Source organism: Homo sapiens, chromosome 5 (assembly GCF_000001405.40).
Source record: "Homo sapiens chromosome 5, GRCh38.p14 Primary Assembly".
In the NCBI taxonomy this organism is placed as follows: Eukaryota; Metazoa; Chordata; class Mammalia; order Primates; family Hominidae; genus Homo; species Homo sapiens.
Window position 1 is genome coordinate 52,319,074 of NC_000005.10, and position 21,111 is coordinate 52,340,184.

General features: G+C 34.6%; 1 long non-coding RNA gene across 1 annotated transcript; it reads left to right on the forward strand.

Annotated features, from left to right (window-relative positions):
- The first annotated feature begins 1,360 nt into the window (after positions 1–1,360).
- Positions 1,361–20,161, forward strand: LOC105378962 (uncharacterized). The gene is made up of 5 exons (XR_001742509.1): positions 1,361–1,491; positions 2,634–2,736; positions 2,978–3,147; positions 3,429–3,519; positions 20,033–20,161. It is a non-coding gene; the product is annotated as an uncharacterized LOC105378962 (long non-coding RNA).
- Positions 20,162–21,111: the final 950 nt, after the last annotated feature.

The following is a 21,111-nucleotide window of genomic DNA, read 5'->3' on the forward strand; positions in this document are numbered from 1 at the left end:
ACCATGAAAATTAGTCATTCCCTAAGAATGGCAAAGGAAGGAAGAAAAAGCCTGGTTCTTAAAAAGTGGTATCAGCTGTGGCTTGCCTAACCCCCATCCCCTTCATGTAGGGTAAGAAAAACAAACAAGCAAACACTAATTGTATCACAGTTGCTGCTAAGTGCACCGAATGCAGTCCTAACTGATAAAGTGGTTTTTCACGTATCAGTGGAAGAAAATTGTGCCCACATGCTTCAGAGAATCAGTAGTGAGTGTGAGACAAATCTTACCATTATAGAAGAGCGGGAAAACATAAAAATAAGGTTTAAAAATATTTTTTGTGAAACTTTACATTCTATGTTTATGTAAAAGGAGTTTAGATTTTACAGTCAAAAAATATATTAAGAATAGTTTCGATTTTTATTAAATGAGGTCATATAGTTTTATAATATTAGCAATAATATAGTTCTAAGGAAAATGCAGTGGATAAATAACAGTATAAAATGTTCTATAAAGAATTTGATATAGACAGAAGAAATTACTTAAGACCAGAAGGCATGAAACTCACGATTTTCTTAGTGAGGGGAGTAAACAGGGACTAACAGCAGCAGAGTCAGCAAACGCAGAGTGTCATCAAGACCGAGAAAATATTTTTGCCTTCCACACTTAACCCATTGATTGTCTGATAGTGGTAATTTTAAGAATAAAGTTTTGTTTCTTCAGCCTTTGACTTTATTTAAAATGGATATTAATTTAAAATTAACTTAGAAAGGTTAATATTTAAGTTTTAATGAATCCTTTTCTCTCAGTAGAAATAAATTAAATAAGTTTATCAAAATCTCTTTAGCCAAATGGAAGAATGTGTGTGTGTGTGTGTGTGTGTGTGTGTGTGTACATTCATGAGCACTCACGAGCATGTGTGTGACTACATGACTATATGTGGAGTTTGGGGCACAAGGAGGGGAAAAAGAAAATGAGCAAATTAAGAACTGAAAGGACTGATACTTTCAAATTTTGTTTGTATGTGGTGTTTGCATTCCTAACTATGCAAGATTAAAACTCAAACTGAAGACTGCATTTTACTATTTCTTGAAACAAATAATATGAGCTCAGCCTCCCTCGAAAGATCATGGAGCAGAGCAATTCTTCATGAGAGGCTCTAGGAGCTGTCTCTAAACCAAGTATGAATACCCTGCCCTGCAGACTCCAGCAGGGTATTACGTATCAGCTGCCTCAAAGGTTGGCGCCAACCTTCTTCTTCAGCGCACCACAAACCAGAATTAATTGCAAATCAATCGAACAAAGTACAACTGATCAGTAAACCAATTAGTAATTTTAGCTGTTCATCCTGTCTTTATTTACTAGGGGGAAAAGTGGGAAATGGAAGTGCCTTTTAGACCACATATAAGATTCCTGTTTTTCCCCCACTGCCCTCTGCTTCTCTACATGCTAATGTTACAAGAACATTCATAAGGAAATGCTTCAAAAAGCTGTTGCCTAAATATTATGCAAGTAAGCTTTTAATTTATCTACTTTATTCTGGAAATATAAATTAGCTTTGGCAAAAAGAAACTACTTTACTGGAGAAAATAATATTAAATAATTCATTCTATACAAATATGATATATTTTATTTTAAAATCACCACTTGAGACAAAATTTAATTGATACAACTTTTTTTGCCATTTTTGTCACATTATAGTCATCCTTGTCTTGAACAATAGATACGTCAAGGTCTCTGATTTATATATGTCAGTACCTCTCCTAAATTTCATTACATGTGCAATGACTTTTTTCACTATCCTTTGGCATGTAAATATTATAATGTAAGCAGAAACACAAAATAAATCTATATTTCTAGCCTTTTCAGTCACCTGTCAGTTGCAAAAGAATTTGCCTTTGCTATTACCCCATAATATTGCCTGTTAGTGATCAGAGGTTCATATTATTTACTTTCTATTGGCCTGAGACCTGATGTTGAATAGGAATTTTTCTTTGTTACTTAATTACAGGGAAGAATGTCAATTTCCAGTGACTCACTAGGCTGGGTTTATATAAAATTACTCTACTTGAGAAAGAAATTAGATTCATATTAGGATTGCAATTCAGAAGATTATAACCTTTTTTAGTCTAGCTCAAGAGAAGATATTTAAGAAACTACATTGTCTTATGGGCTCAGGTTATTATTAATACTGTCCTGTGAATACAAATAGTGGTAGCTACGAAAAGTATATTTTTACATACACTAGTAAAAATACAATTAGTTTATTTGAGAGCACTTGAAATTCCCATGAAAATTCATTCAATTAACTGAGTTACAATACTCCTCTATAAGGCTCTGCTGCTTAAAAATCAATAAGAGAAAATATAAATGGTCATGGTGTTGCTTTTATTGCTGGAAAGTAATCAATCTACTTAATAATCCTTATTTTATAGCAGGTCTCCCAAGATAAATATATTTCAATAGAATGTTTTAAGACAAAGTGTAGATTAAAAAATTCAAATAGGAGAAAATAATGATTGTTTTTCAATAAACACTCAAAGCTTATCACAAAATTTATTTAATATTAGCTACCCTCCCACCATTCTTTGTTAAATAGTATGCACCTTCTGTGTTATCAAAAGAGCATTTTTAGTAATTTTCTTACATTACAGGAGATAATCCAGTCCAGAAGCAGGTGTTAATAGAAAGAGCTCAGAGAAACTGTTGGTGCTATCCAACAAGCAAACACGCATCAAGACAAGCAAAGAAATACAGGTGACTTCTACAAACAATATGATTGCCATTGTATGATTATATGATAAAGATATTGAGTGTTGAATGTGAAAAAGTGTAATGAGTAAAAGATGGCTCTCATTCTATAGGGGCTTGGGAATGGAAGGCATTGTGTGGTATGAAGCAGATATTATCTAATGTATTTAACCTAGATTGAGTAGACTTCCCTAGGTGCACTCTATAATTCAGTCGATTAAACTTGTGTGTGACTGTCCCACTGCAGACAGAACTTTAAAATGAAGACATTCTAAGATCTCACTTTTAACTGATAACCTGGAGGCAACGTTTACCAAGATGGATGGGCACATATCTAGGAACTGTCAAAATCCAGGAATGCTGGAAGAAGTATGCATTTGAGGACACTTAAGAAATCAACTATGAGTTTGAAACCAAGTAAATAACATTTTATTTAATTGTTTCTCAGAAAGCTAATGTCCTTTCATTACTACCATTGATAAACAGTATAGCATTTAATGACCAAATCTTTATGAATATAAAATAACTAGAGATTTGCTTTGTTTTTACCAAAGCACACATTTTAGAAACCGTGGCTCTCTACTGATATTCTTGAAATAAATAACCACAATCAAAGCAATTCCTAAAAAAAGTAATATAATAAATTTAAAGATACACATGTAATTTCCCGTTAACTGATCTCTCCACATTTTTACTAGGTTACAAAAGGAGAGAGCAACCACATTTTTCAAAGAGATTTTCTTTTGTCATGGCCCAATTCGATCTTCACAGCGGACAACATACAGCCGGGTATTGATTTTTGTATACACTCTGACAATCATATTTTAATTGGTTATTTAGACAATTTACATTTAAAGTGATGTAGTTGGACTAGTATTTAGCATGTTTTAAATGTTTTCTGTTTCTTGTGTTTCTTCTTTGTCCTTGCTATTTCCTTCTTTTCCTTTTCTGGTTTTAATTGAAAATTTTATGTCGTTCAATTTGATCAGCTCACTTACTTTTTCAGTTATACTTCTTACAAAAAAAATTAGCAGTTTTCCTAGAGTTTACACTGTGCATTTTTAACTAATCTAAGTCCATCTTAAAATAATACTACGACACTTCATGCATAGTACATGTATCTTATAAAAGTATTCTTAATTCTTTCCTCCCATTCCTGGTGACATTGCTGTCATTCTTTCTACTTATTCATATACTATGATAACCTAAAATATTACTATTAGGACTTTAACTAGTTATATTTTAGATTGGGTCAGAGTAAGAAAAGTAATATATTTCACTTTGCTTTCATTTATTTCTTTTCTTCTTCTTTTTAATGTACATCGAAGCTGCTGATTTATATTATTTTGCTTCTGCCTGAAAAACTTCTTTGAACATTTCTTTTGGGGCTGGTATGCAGGCAGTGAATTACCTTTAGTTTTTTGTTGTCTTAGAAAGTCCTTCACTTTTGAAGCATAATTTTACGGGATACAGAAGTCTGCGTTGGCAGTTGACTTTCTTTGAATACTTTAAATATTTCATTCTACTCTCTTTTTGCTTGATGGTTTCTGATAAAAAGTTCACTCTAACTTGTATCCTTTTTCCAGTTTAGACAAGTCATTTCCCTCCCACACTCCTAGCCCCAGGGCTTTAATCAAGATTTTTCTGTCTTCGGCTTTCTTCAGTTCCTACGTGATAGATAAGTGTACGTTTGATGTTGTTGTAGTTGTTATAATAGCTGTTGGTGGTGGGGTTTGTTTATTTGTTTTGGTATGTATCCCACTCTTGGTGTTCTCTAAGCTTTCTGGATCTTGGAAGGGTCCTGAAGTCTGTTATTATGATGGCAAAGGTTTGATCTTTATTTATTCAAATATTTCTTTTGCCTTTTTTTTCTTCTGACATTCCAGTTACATCATTGTTATACCTTTTAAAATTATCCTGCAGTGGTTACCTGTTCTGTGCTGTTTTGTTTTTCCCTTTTTTCTCTTGTTTTTTAGTTAGGGAGGTTTCTTGTACCCTTTAAAGTTCTCCCTCAACAGTATCAAGTATGTTGTTCAGTCTAAAGACATTCTTCATTTCTGTTACAGTGTCTGGTTTCTCATGTTTCGTATTTATGTTTTTTTTAATGGGCAAGTAGTTTTAATAGACATTTCTCTAAAGCAATGATCTAGCAAATCAAAACCATGATGAGATATCACTTTCATACCCATAGGATGGCTGTACTTAAAAATATACATAATAACAAGCATTGGCAAAGATGGGGAAAAAACAGAACTTTCATATATTGCTGGTGGGTATGTAAAATGATGCAATTGCTTTGAAAAAACAATTTAATAGCTTTTTAGAATGTTAAACATTGAGTTGGCACATTATCTAGCAGTTCTACTCTTAAGTGCACACCCAAAAGAAATATAAATATACATCTACATAAAAACTTGTACACAAATGTTTATAGTAGCATTATACATAATAGCTTAAAACTGGAAAACAACCCAATTTCCATCAACTGATGAATGGGTTAACAAAGTTCCATACAAGGGAATATCGCTTGTTAGTAAAAATAAGCTTCGATACGTGTTACAACATGAGTTTTTTTGTAGTGTCTCCATGTCTCTGCTTACATTGAGTATCCTTCTTGCTTGCTGTCTAGCTATTTGCATTAGAGCCTTGACATACAGGTTGAACCCTGATCCAAAAATCTAAAATCCAAAATTATCTGTATTGGATCACAGTCAAAAGGCATAAAAACTTTCATGTACAAAATTATTTAAAACATCATGAAAAATTACCTTCAGGCAATGTGTATAAGGTGTATATGAAAAGTAAATCAACTTCATGTTTAGACTTGGGTCCCATCCCCCAAGGCATCTCCTTATGTATAATGCAAATATTTTAAAATCTGAAAAACTCCAAAACACTTTGGGTATCAAGCATTTCGGATAGGAAATAGCTTGTATTAGTCATGGTTATTTTAAATTTCCTATATAATAATTTGAACATTTATGTCTGAGTCTATTTCTGATTATTACTTTATCTCTTTAGACTGCTTTTATTTACTTGCCTTTTGGCATGTTTTGTCACTTTTGGTTGAAAATTGGACATATGCATTGCATAATATGAGGGCATAAAGAGATGTTTAGCGAGATGTATGGGCTAAGACTTGGCTGCGTTTAATGTTTACTCTAGCTATAGGTGCCAGAAGCTTCAAAATTCTCTAGTTCCTTAATTTTTGTCTTTTCTCTTGAGTTTGAGCTTCCCTGTGTGTTCTTCAGAAAGCATTTATATTTTGCAGCTATTATATCTCTAATCCCCTGTCATACTCAAGCATTGTTTATGTGTGAAGAACAGAGTCCTATAATTTTCCAATTGAATATTACCACCTTTGGTGAACTTATGTCTTGGGGCTGTGACATTCACAAGTATATTTTTAGTGATACAACTTCTTTTTCTCCTTCTCTTATTGCAGTGTCCCCAATCTATTTCCTTGATTCCCCAATCCTTTTTGAGTATTTTTTGTTGTTGTTGTTGTTTGATATTTGTTTATTTACTCCTTAGGTGAGATAGCAAGGCAACAAGAGGTTCTAATGGCAAGAGGAATGTCCTTCCCCAAATGGCATAAGATTTTGGTAAAGTCATTTCTGCTAGAATATAGGCCTTTTCTATGGAGAAGGTCGTGAGTGTGTTTTATGATTACTTCTCCCACCCCCTGCCAGAATCCTGAGGGCATCTCTTCCGATTTTCCCCACGAGAACTTGCAGGGGGAGAAGTTTTTCCTAGAGGTAAAATCTATGAAAATATGGTGGCTCCCCTAAAACTGTGGCCCAGAGAAATTTTATACTCTCATGCTAGTCTACACAAACACACATTTGGACTCCAACAGTTTGTGAAAATGACCATTTCAGTGTTTCTAGCAGGATACGGCTTCAACAACTTATGCTATGAACAAGCATATCAGCTGTGACTCTCTGTATCAGCCTGTCTCTCCAGATTTGGAGATGGCAATTTGCCTCATAATGTCATCTCATTGACAGATTCAACAAAAGTCATTGATTTTCCTTTTGTCCATTTTTTTCTTGTTGCAAGAAAAGGAGTGATAAATTCCAATCTCTTTCCACATTAGGGCACAAACCAGAAGTCAGTGCTATACAGCTATACATAGAGAAGCACGGGTTATTATAGCACAACATGAGGAAGGTAAAAAAAAAATGTGGGAGATAGAAAAAACTTTTGGAGCTAGATCACACAGATAAATTAGCCATGTGAAGATTCAAAGAAAGAATTTTTTAGACAGAATCTCACAAAGCATGTAGGTGCAAAAAAAAAAAAAAGCAGAAGAACATGATGTGGTAGTTTGGCAGTAGTGTAGAGTACAAAAGACAGTAAAATAAATGAGTTTTCCAAGAGAAATATACAAGGGCCTGCATAATTTTCTAATATTAGTCTAATCACCAAAGAAAAATTTTTCTGTGATAAGTGTGTCCTGCTCCCCATTTTAAATATTAGATATTCAAAATATCTAACTAGTGTTAAATTTTCAAAATATCTAGCTAGTATCAGATTTTCAAAATATCTAACTAGTATTAGATAGTCAAAATTCAAACCAATTCGCATTCAGTTTACTTTAGCAGGAAGTAATGGAAAGAAATAGAACAACTGTTTTTTTTTTCCTTTTACTTTTTTTTCTTTTTTTGTAGGGAGGAGATATACAGGGACCTTGAAGCAGATTGGCTAGCAAGAGCACAATTCTTTATATTCTTGCTGTAGCCACTATTCAGCGGTAAAGATTTTCACTTATTTTTTATTATTTTTAAAAAATTTTGATTGATACATATTTGTAAACATTTATGAAATAAGGTGTTTGAACATCTCTTTCCTCTATAGGAAATCAGCCACTCCAACTCCTACAGAGATAGCCATAGTAGGCAATGATGTTATGTACACATACAAAACAATTTAATTTGTGCAATATGATTTCCACTCTTATAATACAAACATGACTCTGGAATTTATACACTGACAGAAGAATGTTGTTCCAATAACTTTGAATCAAATAGCCAACAACACTGCTGCTTTTATCTTTGTCTGGAGTTTATATTTCAACTCTCTGGATTCAAGGTCTATATTCTTTTATCTTTCTTTTTCTTTCTGAAGACCCAAGGACACTGACAATGCTACTTATATTAGAAATAGAAACAGATATAAGTTTATGATCAAGTGAGAAATTCTTATTCATTCAATAACATAATAAATGTTTTGACTTCTAAGTGGCTTGAGGAGCTTTAAAAAACAGGAAGATTGCATTAAATTTAAAAGTATGTATTTTTGATGACATTTATTTCAAACATAAAAATAGACATTAACCATGATACTCTTTAATTATGAGATTTCAGCCTCCCTCTTGTAGAGGTTCTGAGACTGAATTTCCTATTGGGGAAAGTGGGTTGTAACAAAAGGATAGTAAAGAGATGTGTGAACAAACAGATCAATTACTTCATAATAAACTTGAAGATGAGGGAACTCAAGAAGAGCAAGGAGTGCTCAGGGATATGCTCTGGTTCACCTTGGATATGGACTCTCTGGAAACTTTTTCTTTCCCCCAACTCTGCCTCCCTGGTCTCTTTGTATTACTCTTTAATTTCTCCTTCATTTAATTTTGTCTTCTTCTGTTTGGTTGCAGGTGGACCTATTTGAATTGGAGACTGTCTTTCTAATAATTAGAAAGTAGCTTCAGTTTTCTTAAATCGCCTATGGGTTTAACAAAATCCTCTCAATACACGGTATCTGTACTCCTTAAAAATACCTGTGCAGGGCTGGGCATGGTGGCTCATTCCTGTAATCTCAGCACTTTGGGAGGCTGAGGTGGGAAGATCACCTGAGGTCAAGAGTTTGAGACCAGACTGGCCAACATGGTGAAACCCTGTATCTACTAAAAACACAAAAATTAGACAGGCGTGGTGGCGGGTGCCTGTAATCCCAACTACTCAGGAGACCGAGGCAGGAGAATCACTTGAACCCGGGAGGTGGAGATTGCAGTGAGCCGAGACTGTGTCATTGCACTCCAGCCTGGGTGACAAGAGAGAAACTCCCTCTCAAAAAACAAAAAGAAAACAAAACAAAACTCTGTGCAGGTCCAAGGATTTGGGGGAACTCAGAATGTGCATTTGTATTTAGCAGCCTCAGGTTTTATATAATTAATTTCATTAATTAGGAAATCCACCCCATCTGGTTCTTATGTCAGCATCTTCTAGCATAGGAAAATTGAATTGTCAATCTTCATTCCTTCACTGGTCTGTGCTTTTATCCCACCTATTACAGTCAATTTTATTATATGTTAGTACTCATTGTATTTCTTGTCATCACCTGGAAACCCAAGCTCGAGACTCCAAAAAGATGTTACTTTCCACTGGCATCAGATAAAGAATATAGATGTGAAAAACTATACTACTTTATTATTAATCATTCCTTCAGTTAACCCAAGATATGCACCTTGGCTGGACAAATACATGCACAGCTTTTAAATTCAAGGTTTAGGGAGCTTTATAAATAGAATTTTAGCAAACATGGTGAATGGCTAAATCTGGTCAAAGGTACAAGTTTAATATAAATAGATTTTCCTTCAGAGTCCAAAGGTCTACCAAGTAAAAGGTCAAGCTACTCTTCACAAAGGCATTATTTTCCCATGTACTTTTAGTTCCTAATCACCTTGATTTGCTTTCAGATTTTCAGTGCCACCTAAGTGCTTCTAAATGTTCTTGCATTAAATTTCACCCTGCTCACAGGTTAGGGCCTCATCCTGGATCCCTCTCTCCTATTCCATTTGCACATTTCTCAAGTGTGAGTCATTTACTCTAGAAATTATCTCAGGATTTCAGCAACACAATAAATGCTGATTATAACAGCATATGCTAAACATAGAAGATGGAAAGAGCTTTTTGTGCTCCAAGTTTTGAAAGAAAATCCAGAGTGAGTAAGGACCAACTAGATTGGATTTCAACACACCTCATGCTTTGACTATTTTACTTATAGGACAGAACATTATTGCATACATCTCCCAAGGATCAATAATGTTCCAAGATAGTATAGGCTGATGCCATTAAGAAGTAGACAATATTTGCACAAGTTCCTTTTCTATTCATGAATTTTAAAATTTACGTTATGATGTTAAACAATAAGTGATTCTAGGGATCCCCAAATATTTGTACCACTCTTTTCTACCTTCACTGAATAAAGAAAGAAGTCAAAATATTATCTTTATGACTGTTAAAGGCCAAATTAGAGAATGTGGCTTTTAATCTCTTTGCTGTATGGGCTTACCCTACTAAATTCCAGTCACAGGTAAAGCTGACCTTGCACAGGCCTTCCCACATAGAAGGGGCCTGTGCAGGTTCTATTTATGATCTGCTAAAGCAGAAGGTAACTCATCTTTCTGCAGGCAAGCTTGCACTCAAGAGGAAGAGGACAGATAAGATCTGCGTGTGCCTAGTTATTCTCAGAGAAGTCTCTCTATCTTTCTATGTTCACAGTGATTCAAGCAAAATGCTTACAGAGAGAAAATCTTTCAAGAACACTCGGAGAGCATATAAGGTGTTTTCTTCGAATACAGCACAGTATAAGTTTATTCATAACCAGTTTATTCATAACTTCAAAATCCCAAAATCTCCAATTCTTAAAAATTTGCAGGCAACTCATTTGGCTGCAAAACCTCAACTGAACAGAAGTAAACTATTTATTTACTGTTTCTACTTAGGGTCAATATTCATTATTTTTGTTATGGACATATTAACCTGTTGGTAAGCTGTTGTCTCATAATTCTGATCCATCCGTCCTTCCATAATTGGCTCTGAAAAGCTGGGACTTAGACTTATCCAAACTACATTTCTCCTCTGCCAACTGGTTTCCAGTTATATTTGTACCAGTACATGGCATAAAAAGCAAGCAGAAGGAGGGAAGAGGGTCTTGCTTCTTTATATTTGTTAATTTTCTTAACAAAAACATTTTAACAGCTCATTTCCGTTTCCAGGTAGTTTTGGTACCTCTAGAATCAGTATCATAACTTCAGTTGAGCAGTACCCTTTTCCAAATTTTATATTCTGATAAACTCTTCTTGCTATTATTTTCTCTGAGTTTCTCAATGCTTTCTTCTTTATGCTTTCATATCGCCAACATCTGTGTAACCACTCTATGTTAAACTTTCTTTAGTGAGATTTCTCTTTTTTCAGCTTTATTGAGGTATGTGGCAAATAGAAATTGTACACATTTAAGGTATACAACTTGATGTTTTGATATCTGCACACATTGTGAAATGATCACCACAATGAAGTTAATGAACATATCCATCACCTCACATAGTTACTATTGTCTTTCTTTTTTAATTTTGTGCAGTAAAAATATTTAAGATCTATCCTCTTATCAAATTTTAAGCATACAATACAGTATTGTTAACTATAGTCACTGTCTTAGTTTATTTGTACTATTCTAATAAAATACCTAAGACAGGATAATTTATAAAGAATAGAAATTTATTTCTCATAATTCTGGAGTGGAAAGTCCAAGATAAAGGTGCCGGTAGGTTCAGTTGTTTGGTGAGGGCTGCTCTCTGCTTCCAAGGTGGCACTTTGTTGCTGCACTCCTGGAAGGACAGGAATGCTGTGTCCTTACATGATGGAAGGCAGAACGGCAAGAAAGCCAGACAGTGTGTGAAACATCTTTTATAGGGGTCTTAAGAGAGGAACCCTCATGACCTAATTACTTTTAAGGGCTTCGCCTCTTCATACTGTGACACAGGCCATTAAATTTCAATACCTGAATTTTGAAGGAGACACATTCAAACCACAGCACTCACAATCCTGCAAATTAGATCCCCAGAATTTATTCATCTTGCATAAGTGAAATGTTGTACCCTTTGACAACATCTCTCCCTTTCCCCCTTCCCCTCTCCCTAGCAACCACCATTGACCGTTTTAGATTCCACAGATAAATGCAATCGTGTGGTATTTGACTTTCTCTATCTGGCTTCTTTTACTTAGCTGAGATTTCTTTTTTCTCAACTGAACTCTGATTAATATTGGCATGCTCCCCTAGAATCTGCTGGGTATATTAAGAAATATATGGTATATGCATAATCTATCTTTCTAAAATTCAGAATTGTAAAATATATCTCTTCCTAAAGGTTCGAATAAGGAATTGGAGAAAAGTATTTTTGTTACTGCTTTTTGAATCATTGTGTGCACATTTTCTGAGTTGGTTTCTCAAAGGACAGATTCCTGTACTACATAGAGATCTTGGAATCTGAGAATATGATTTAGTACCCAGCATTATCGAATAATCTCCCCAGATTATTCCTGTTGCTATGGTTTAAATCTTTTTATCCACTAGAAAGCAAAATGGGTTACATATACTTTAGCAGCTATTCCCTTAAGGGCAGATAGATAACCTGTGAACTGACCATTCCAAAAAGTCATTAATTTACTAAACAAAAGCCTATGTTCTCCTAAGTCTCCACTTGAAGAATGTATTAGTCCATTTTCACACTGCTATAAAGACATACCTAAGACTGGGTAATTTATAAAGAAGAGAGGTTTAATTGACTCACAGTTTTGGAGGCCTCAGGAAACTTACGAACATGGTGGAAATGGAAGAGGCACATCTTACATGGAGGCAGTCGAGAGAGAGCTTGCAAGAGCAGAGCAAACTGCCTTACAAAACCATGAGATCTCATGGGAACTCACTACCACGAGAACAGCATGGGGGAAACCACATCCATGATCCAATCACCTCTCACTGGATCCTGCCCTTGACAGGTGGGGATTACAGGGATTACAATTCAAGATGAGATTTGGGTGGGGACACATGGAAACCATACCAGGGAATAGAGAGGAGATAGTCTATTCTTATAGTTATACCAGTATGGCCCTGACTGAAAAAGTAATGTATGTATATTGGTTGAAGTATAATCTGGGGCTGGCTTCCATGGGTACAGTCTTTGCTACTGCAGATTAGAGTTGAGTCATTTTGCACACTTTCTTCTGATATGTGGCCTCTGGTTCCACTCAGCCTCTGCAAGTGGATTCATCCAGCAGCTGCCACTTTTCATGTTGTCTCTTCCTTACTACCATTTAGGGATGCTTATAGAGATGCTAATGGATTTTTAACAACTGCCCTAATGTTCTACAGTTTCTGAGCTATGTATGCAAATGAAGCTATGCCTGTAGCCCCATAGGAAACATTCCTTCTCAATAGTGATTAAACAAGAATCATAGTGTTCAAAGGTTGAAATGAGTTATGCACCCAAATTGCCAGCAAGATAGCGAAGGTGTATGGGTACAAATTTGTATTTAATTGACGTTACTAAACAGCAAATAGAAAGCAATCCCTCCATGTGATGCAAGTATAAAACTATTTAAATATTTATTCTGAATACAAATATGTAGAGTCACACCATCACATAGTTAGAAGCATAAATGTTTGGTTTGAAGGGACTTTGTTGATTATTGAAACATAATCGTTACATAGATCAGTAGTCTCCAAATCTTTTATATTGGGCACTATTATATTCATGTATTTGTGTGTAAATATTCACATACTACTATATTAATACAATATGCACATTATTAATCCTACAGAAAAAAAAATGACAGAAAACACAAACTATACCAAAACGTTTCAATGTTGTCTTCCTGAATCTCAAAAGAGCATGTGGTGTGTACCATCAGGTACACACACCTGGGGATCATCAGTCTAGCAAAAGTAATCCACATCCACACAGAAAGGAAAAACAAATACAAGATACCAGAAATGGAATTTATCCATCATCAATCAGAGATCTCTGAAATAAGCATATTTACACCCTCTCTGCTGTATGTGACAGTCAATGAGAAATCTTGTGTTGTGGGCAACTGTGTCCCCTGTCTTAGCTAGCTTTCTCTTCCCACTGCCTCATGGTTTGGTTTTGTGTTACAAACAGAAAAGCTGTTGAAAGCATCTCACCCACCATATCCCTACTTTATTTGCCCCTTTCACTGTAGCCTTTTCTAACATATTCTCTGGCTTCCCTACATTACTTTTCCCCTAAAACACTATTTTTGATTATTATATAGATATGTAGTATGAATACCAGTATATGTTTCCAAAAGATGGATTTTCCACAAATTAAAATATTCGATTTAGCTCTAAATATGGAAACTAAAAATATGCAACCCACTGTGAAATGAATTACTCATACACTATGTGTCTCATTTTAAACTAATAACTCTATAACCTTAAAATACAGCTCAATCTTAAAGTATTAATTTTGAAATGGTGCATTTGTGCTAATGATTTACTGGGAGGAAAAATCCTTTAATCTAACCCTTTTGCTTATGAACTTGAAAGTTGAACTTTATAGAAATGACTGACTGCAACAGCAGGGCTTTTCACCAGCTGATCAAAATTAACAGTTTCTTTCAATTGTTCTAATTAAGACCAAGGGGAGTTCTGGAATGTACCAATGGTATCTCAAATTGCTCCCTAGCTTAAAACTAGTTTCTGGGAAGGAATATCAGCTTTTACCTTTCCCTACAAATAGTTTAGTCTACCTTGCTATTATTACTGTTTACTAAAAGGACTTCTATGAATATATCCCAAGAGAATGTGTTTTTTTTCACTTTATTTCATTAGAAAGCAAAACAATTAAAGAAGAGAAACATAATGATCTTGATTAGAAAATGGTTAGAAACCAGATGCTTTATCAATGATGAGAGCACTATAAACATGTTAGTATTTAACATATTAATAATTTTATTTTACTTTAATTATTTCATATATATACTGGAAGTCTCAGTGGAGAAACCAGTTAACTGAATCATAATCATGGTAATACTATGAAAATTAAATTTATTTAAATCATAAGTAAGAGTATTGCTTTAAAGTGTATAGTTTTCATACTAGCTGAATGTATCTCAAGGAAGAGTTCTACGTTTGAAAACCAATTCTTTCCTTCTAAATTGTAGTTTGTTGTCATTCATCATCTAAAGTTTTTATCTAGGTTATTAATAAAACTTACGTACATTTTTAAATAGTAATTTATTTTAATATTATGCATTTATAATGTTTATTTCTTTCAGGACTTTTATTTAAATGGGATTTTCTATTTAAATAAAACATTTTATTCAAAATATGTTTTAAAATAAAACTGTCAAAGTTGTATAAATAATGAAGCGTGCATACAAGCCAATACCAATATTTTCATCATTGAAGCAAAAACAGGGAAAAGTTTTAAATCTTGACCTATATGTATTTGCCTGGCAAATCATTTAGGTGCTATTATAAAGTTATTTTAAAAATTGGTTAAAGAAGTATATTCAAGATCAACCAATTAAATTCTGAGTACCAAATGCATTATGATAAGGAGTACAGATCCCTATAATTTAACCAAACATCAGCTTGCTTAAAAGTGTGATTGTGTTATGGGTGATGAAAATATGTTGCCTTGCTTCATCAGCATTTCAAACCATGTCTTCTTTGCATGTGACAATTATCAGTTTAAAGATCTTTGAGAGGGCATACTCTTTAACCTCATACACAGTCCCAAAATAAGTAATTGACTCTTTCAACTCTCACGGTGGTGTTAAGATATAAGCAATCTCTTGTTGTAATTAGCATTCTTTCTTAGGAAAAGGCTGACAGCTGGGTGGCTAAATGGGCTAGCAGTTTTCAGAGAGCATTCCCTTCCCTACGGCTGGAAACAGACTATTTAAAACCACTGTGCAAGAGTCAACAGGATTAACATGGAGTCAACTTCCTTGGGAAATGGAGCCAAAGAGATTCGAAGGAGACAGAATACTTCAAGGCAATCACACTAGTAGTGAAAATCTCCAGACTTACTGGTCCTGTCACATCTAATTTAACTGATGACATGAACGTTAAGCAGAACTACAAAGACTTTTTTTTATGAGCCTAAACTCTTTTTTTACTTCCTGAAAGCTTCGGATATTTCCTTTTTTTCTTTTTTTTTTTTTTAACTGAAGAGAAATCCATCTTAAAAACCTGGAAAACACCTTCTGTTTATTTAGACATACATGCATGAAGATTAGCGTCTTTACATAGAAGGATTTTTACCACTAAATTTTAGACTGTTTACAGGTTTTTCTTTTAATTTATAATTCTTATCATGTATCTTTTTACATTTCTAATTATAAAGAAATTACTAAATCTTCTTGAAAGAAATTTATATTTTGTGGAACTTGTTCATGTAAATTTCATCAAGGATTTGTGTACTTTCTTGTTATGAACTCTCATAATTGAGAATTTAAATATACAGGTAGAAAACAGAACTATTTCATTATCAATACAATGACTATTTCGTTGGCAAATGTGAAGTCCAAATATTCTGTTAATGTTAGTTTTTTCTTAGAAAATGTAGAAAACACAAATTTTAAGTATAAAGAGCTATCATTCTTTGTTTTATCTGTATAATTAGAAAAGCATTTTAACTATTAATAATATACAAACTATTGCGATGCATATTTAGTTTAGTACTCAAGTGGTAGAAAACGATTAGTCTCTCCCAGTAAAGCATTTACAGTGTAGTTGGCTAATCAGACATATTCATGATGAATAAGATCTATTAATTATAGACTGAAGACTATGTCTGGAATTAACCAGCTTCTAGGTTGAAACTTCAGTCCTGATAATAACCATTGGGCCAGCATTTTATTCTACCCTAAGAGAGTTGCAAATGTCAAAAAAGCAGTCTGGGTCTATGGGTGGGAAAAAGCTTGGGGTGTTAATTATTTATCAAATTCAAATTAGATTGATTTGCCAAGGAATTTGTTTTTTATTTTAAGAGAAAATATAAAAATGGTGGGTTTTTTTTTATTATACTTTAAGTTCTGGGATATGTGTGCAGAATGTGCAGGTTTGTTACATAGGTATACACATGCCACGATGGTCTGCTGCATCCATCAACCTGTCATCTACATTAGGTATTTCTCCTAATGCTATCCCTCCTCTAGCCCCCCACCCCCTGAGAGGCCCCAGTGTGTGATATTCCCCTCCCTGTGTCCATGTGTTCTCATTGTTCAACTCTACTTATGAGTGAGAACATGCAGTGTTTGGTTTTTTGTTCCTGTGTTAGTTTGCTGAGAATGATGGTCTCCAGCTTCATCCACGTCCCTGCAAAGAACATGAACTCATCCTTTTTCATGTCTGCATAGTATTCCATGGTGTATATGTGCCATATTTTCTTTAACCAGTCTATCATTGATGGGCATTTGGTTTGGTTCCAAGTCTTTGCTATTGAGAATAGTGCTGCAATAAACATACATGTGCATTTGTCTTTATAGTAGAATGATTTATAATCCTCTGGGTATATACCCAATAATGGGATTGCTGGGTCAAATGGTATTTCTGGCTCTAGATCCTTGAGGGATCGTCACACTGCCTTCCACAATGATTGAACTAATTTACCCTCCCAACAGTGTAATAGCATTCCTATTTCTCCATATCCTCTCCAGCATCTGTTTTTTCCTGACTTTTTAATGATCACCATTCTAACTGACATGAGATGATATCTCACTGTGGTTTTGATTTGCATTTCTCTGATGACCAGTGATGATGAGTTTTTCTTCATATGTTTGTTGGCTGCATAAATGTCTTCTTTTGAGAAGTGTCTGTTCATATCCTTTGCCCATTTTTTGATGAGGTTGTTTGTTTTTTTCTTGTAAATTTGTTTAAGTTCCTTATAGATTCTGGATATTATCCCTTTGTCAGATGGATAGATTACAAAAATTTTCTTCCATTCTGTAGGTTGCCTGTTCACTCTGATAATAATTTCTTTTGCTGTGCAGAAGCTCTTTAGTTTAATTAGATCCGATTTGTCAATTTTGGCTTTTGTTGCAATTACTTTTGGTGTTTTAGTCATGAAATCTTTGCCCATGCCTATATCCTGAATGGTATTGCCTAGGTTTTCTTCTAGGGTTTTTATGGCTTTAGGTCTCATTTTAAGTCTTTAATCCATCTTGAGTTAATTTTTGTATAAAGTGTAAGGAAGGGTTCCAGTTTCAGTTTTCTGCATATGGCTAGCCAGTTTTCCGAACACCATTTATTAAGCAGGGAACCCTTTCCCCATTGTTTTTTTGGTCAGGTTTGTCAAAGATCAGTTGGTTGTAGATGTGTGGTGTTATTTCTGAGGCCTCTGTTCTGTTCCGTTGGTCTATATATCTGTTTTGGTACCAGTACCTTGCTGTTTTGGTTACTGTAGCCTTGTAGTATAGTCTAAAGTCAGGTAGCATGATGCCTCCAGCTTTGTTCTTTTTGCTTAGGATTGCCTTGGCTATACAGCTCTCTTTTGGTTCCATATGAAGTTTAAAGTAGTTTGTTCTAATTCTGGGAAGAAAGTCAATGGTAGCTTGATGGGGATAGCATTGAATCTGTAAATTACTTTGGGCAGTGTGGCCATTTTTCATTATATTGATTCTTCCTATCCATTAGTATGGATAATTTTTCCATTTGTTTGTGTCCTCTTTTATTCCCTTGAGCAGTGGTTTGTAGTTCTCCTTGAAGAGGTCCTTCACATCCCTTGTCAGTTGTATTCCTAGGTATTTTATTCTTTTTGTAGCAATTGTGAATGGGAGTTCACTCATGCTTTGGCTCTCTGTTTGTCTGTTATTGGTGTATAGGAATGTTTGTGATTTTTGCACATTGATTTTATATCCTGAGACTTTGTTGAAGTTCCTTATCAGCTTAAGGAGATTTTGGGCTGAGATGATGCGGTTTTCTAAACATACAATCATGTCATCTGCAAATAGAGACAATTTTATTTCCTCTCTTCCTATTTGAAGGCCTTTTATTTATTTCTCTTGCCTGATTATTTTTTATTGTTATGGTTACTTGCTGAATTACGAGTGGAGATTCAATCAGGTAAATCTCTTATGTCATTCACTTCATTGATGAATTAATTTATACATCCAATCATTTAATAACAAGTACTTACATAGTGCCTAGGAAATGCTTAGCACTGGTGTAACCACTTTACAAAGGCAATTTCCTCCCCTTCCATATGATTTTTAATCTCTTGGTATAAGTAATTACATGGGTTCTCCTAGACAAAGAAAGCTCATTTTGTTCATGTTGGTGATGGAAGGGATAGTAACTAGCTTTAAGCTAATTAGCAAAAAGAACTCCAGAAAGGTAATGACAAAATCTACTATTAGTGAATCTATGACTCTGGGAGAAAATTTAATATTAAAATAAGGCCGTAACAGGAAAAAAAAAAAAAAACAGGGAAGATTCAGTAACAAAGCATAAAAGTTAGCAGGCTTTGGCTCTCTGTGTTTTCTACATTTTCTATTTAAAGCCTTATTGAACCAGATACCCTGGGCCTGTTATGCATCCTGAGACTGAAAGAGTTACTGCAGACATGTTGCGAATAAACCATCATGTTCAACCCTCATACCTTGTGCCCAAGCAAACCTTCTGTGGGACACCTATAACAGTGTGTAACATTGAGTGGAAGGAACATTTCCTCTTCTTATTTTGAAACAAATTTAGAATTGGCATGGCTCTATTGTAACCAAGAGAATCATTAAGTAAGATAATGTTTTAAGAATCTAACACCTAAAGTGTGTCATAAATATACCAACCTGATTTATATTAAAAAGGAAATCTTGAAATTGATAGTGGAGATTTTGCATTGTCACAGGTCGGGGGGCTGGATAGGTAGAAAAATTCATATTCTAGTGAGAACCCTTCAAATTTGCAGAGGTCATTGTTTTCTTTCAAGCAAGACCAAGAGGCCATGAAAGGTTAAATTCTACTTTCTGATGCCCCTAAAAGTAATATCCTGGCTTGGGGGTCTTATTATTCAACCCCAGTTTTTGAAATAGTAATGGAAAAAATTGAAAGTAGTTTAACTGGTATTATCTTAGATAAAGTTACACTTCATAGCCTATTTTTGTATACCATTTAAAATCTTATACAAGATCATAAAAATTAGTTATATCATCACTCTATTAAAATCTTCACATCATAAAGGGCCATTATATCAATAAATCAAGTAAAACACTTCAATAGAATGTGAGAGGACAGAAATGTTGTTACTTGAAGATAAATCACTTGCATTGGAAAAACAAAAAAACTAAAATTGTGGAAGTCAATATATAGAGAACCCATCCTATCCTCGTAAGTTAATTTTGAAAAACAAAACATAAAACATTATTTTTAAAATGGTACTGCTAGAATTCATTGGAAAAATAATGGCTGCATAGTCAATGTATATTTCGGTATATGTGCATATCTATATAAGCATACCTCATTTTACTGCACTTTGCTTTATTGCTCTTTGCAGATATCGTGCTTTGTACAAATTGAAGTTTTGCATCAACCCTGCTTCAAGCAAGTCTATTGGCACCATTTTCCCAACAGCGTGTGTTCATTTTGTGTCACTGTGTCATATTTTGGTAATTCTCATAACATTCCAAATTTTGCCATTATATCTATTGTGGTGATCTGTGATCTGTGATCACCACAATTGCTTTTGTTTTTGTAACCATTGTAATTGTTTTGGGGTGCCATGCACAAACTGAACCAATATAAAAGATGGGAACATTAATTGATAAACGTTATATGTGTTCTGACTGCTCCACCAACTGGCCATTCATCTCTCTCCTCCTCAGGCCTCTGTATTCTCTGAGACACAATATTAAAATTAGGTCAATTAATAACCCCACAATGGCCTTTAGATGCTAAAGTGAAAGGAAGAATTGCACATCTCTCGCTTTAAACCAAAAGCTATAAATAATTAAGCTTAGTGAGGAAGGCATGTTAAAGGCCAAGATAGGCCAAAAGCGAGGCATCTTGTACCTAACAGTCAAGTTTTGAATGCAAAGGTAAAGTTTTTGAAAGGCATTAAAAATGCCACACCAGTGAGTATGAGAATGATTAGAAAGCAAAACAGCCTCATTGCTGAGATGGAGTGAGCTTTAGTGGCCTGGTTAGAGGATCAAACCAGCCACAACATTTATTTTAGCCAAAACCAAATCCAAAGAAAGGCTCTAATTCTCTTTAGTTCTTTCAAGGGTGAGAGCAGTGAGGAAACTGCAGTAGAAAAGTTCACAGCTAGCAGAAGTTGGCTCATGAGGTTTCAGAAAAAAAGCCGTCTCCATAAAACAAAATAGTGCAAGACGAAGCAGCAAGTGCTGATGGAGGAGCTGCAGCAAGTTATCCAGAATATCTAGCTAAGATCATTGATGAAGGTAGCTACACTGAATAACAGATTTTCAATGTAGATAAAATAGCCTTCTATTGGAAGAAGATGCCATCTAGGATTTTCATAGCTTGAGAGAATAAGTCAATGCCTATCTTTAAAGCTTCAAAGGACAGGCTAACTCTTGTTAGGAGCAAATGAAGCTGGTGACTTCAAGTTGA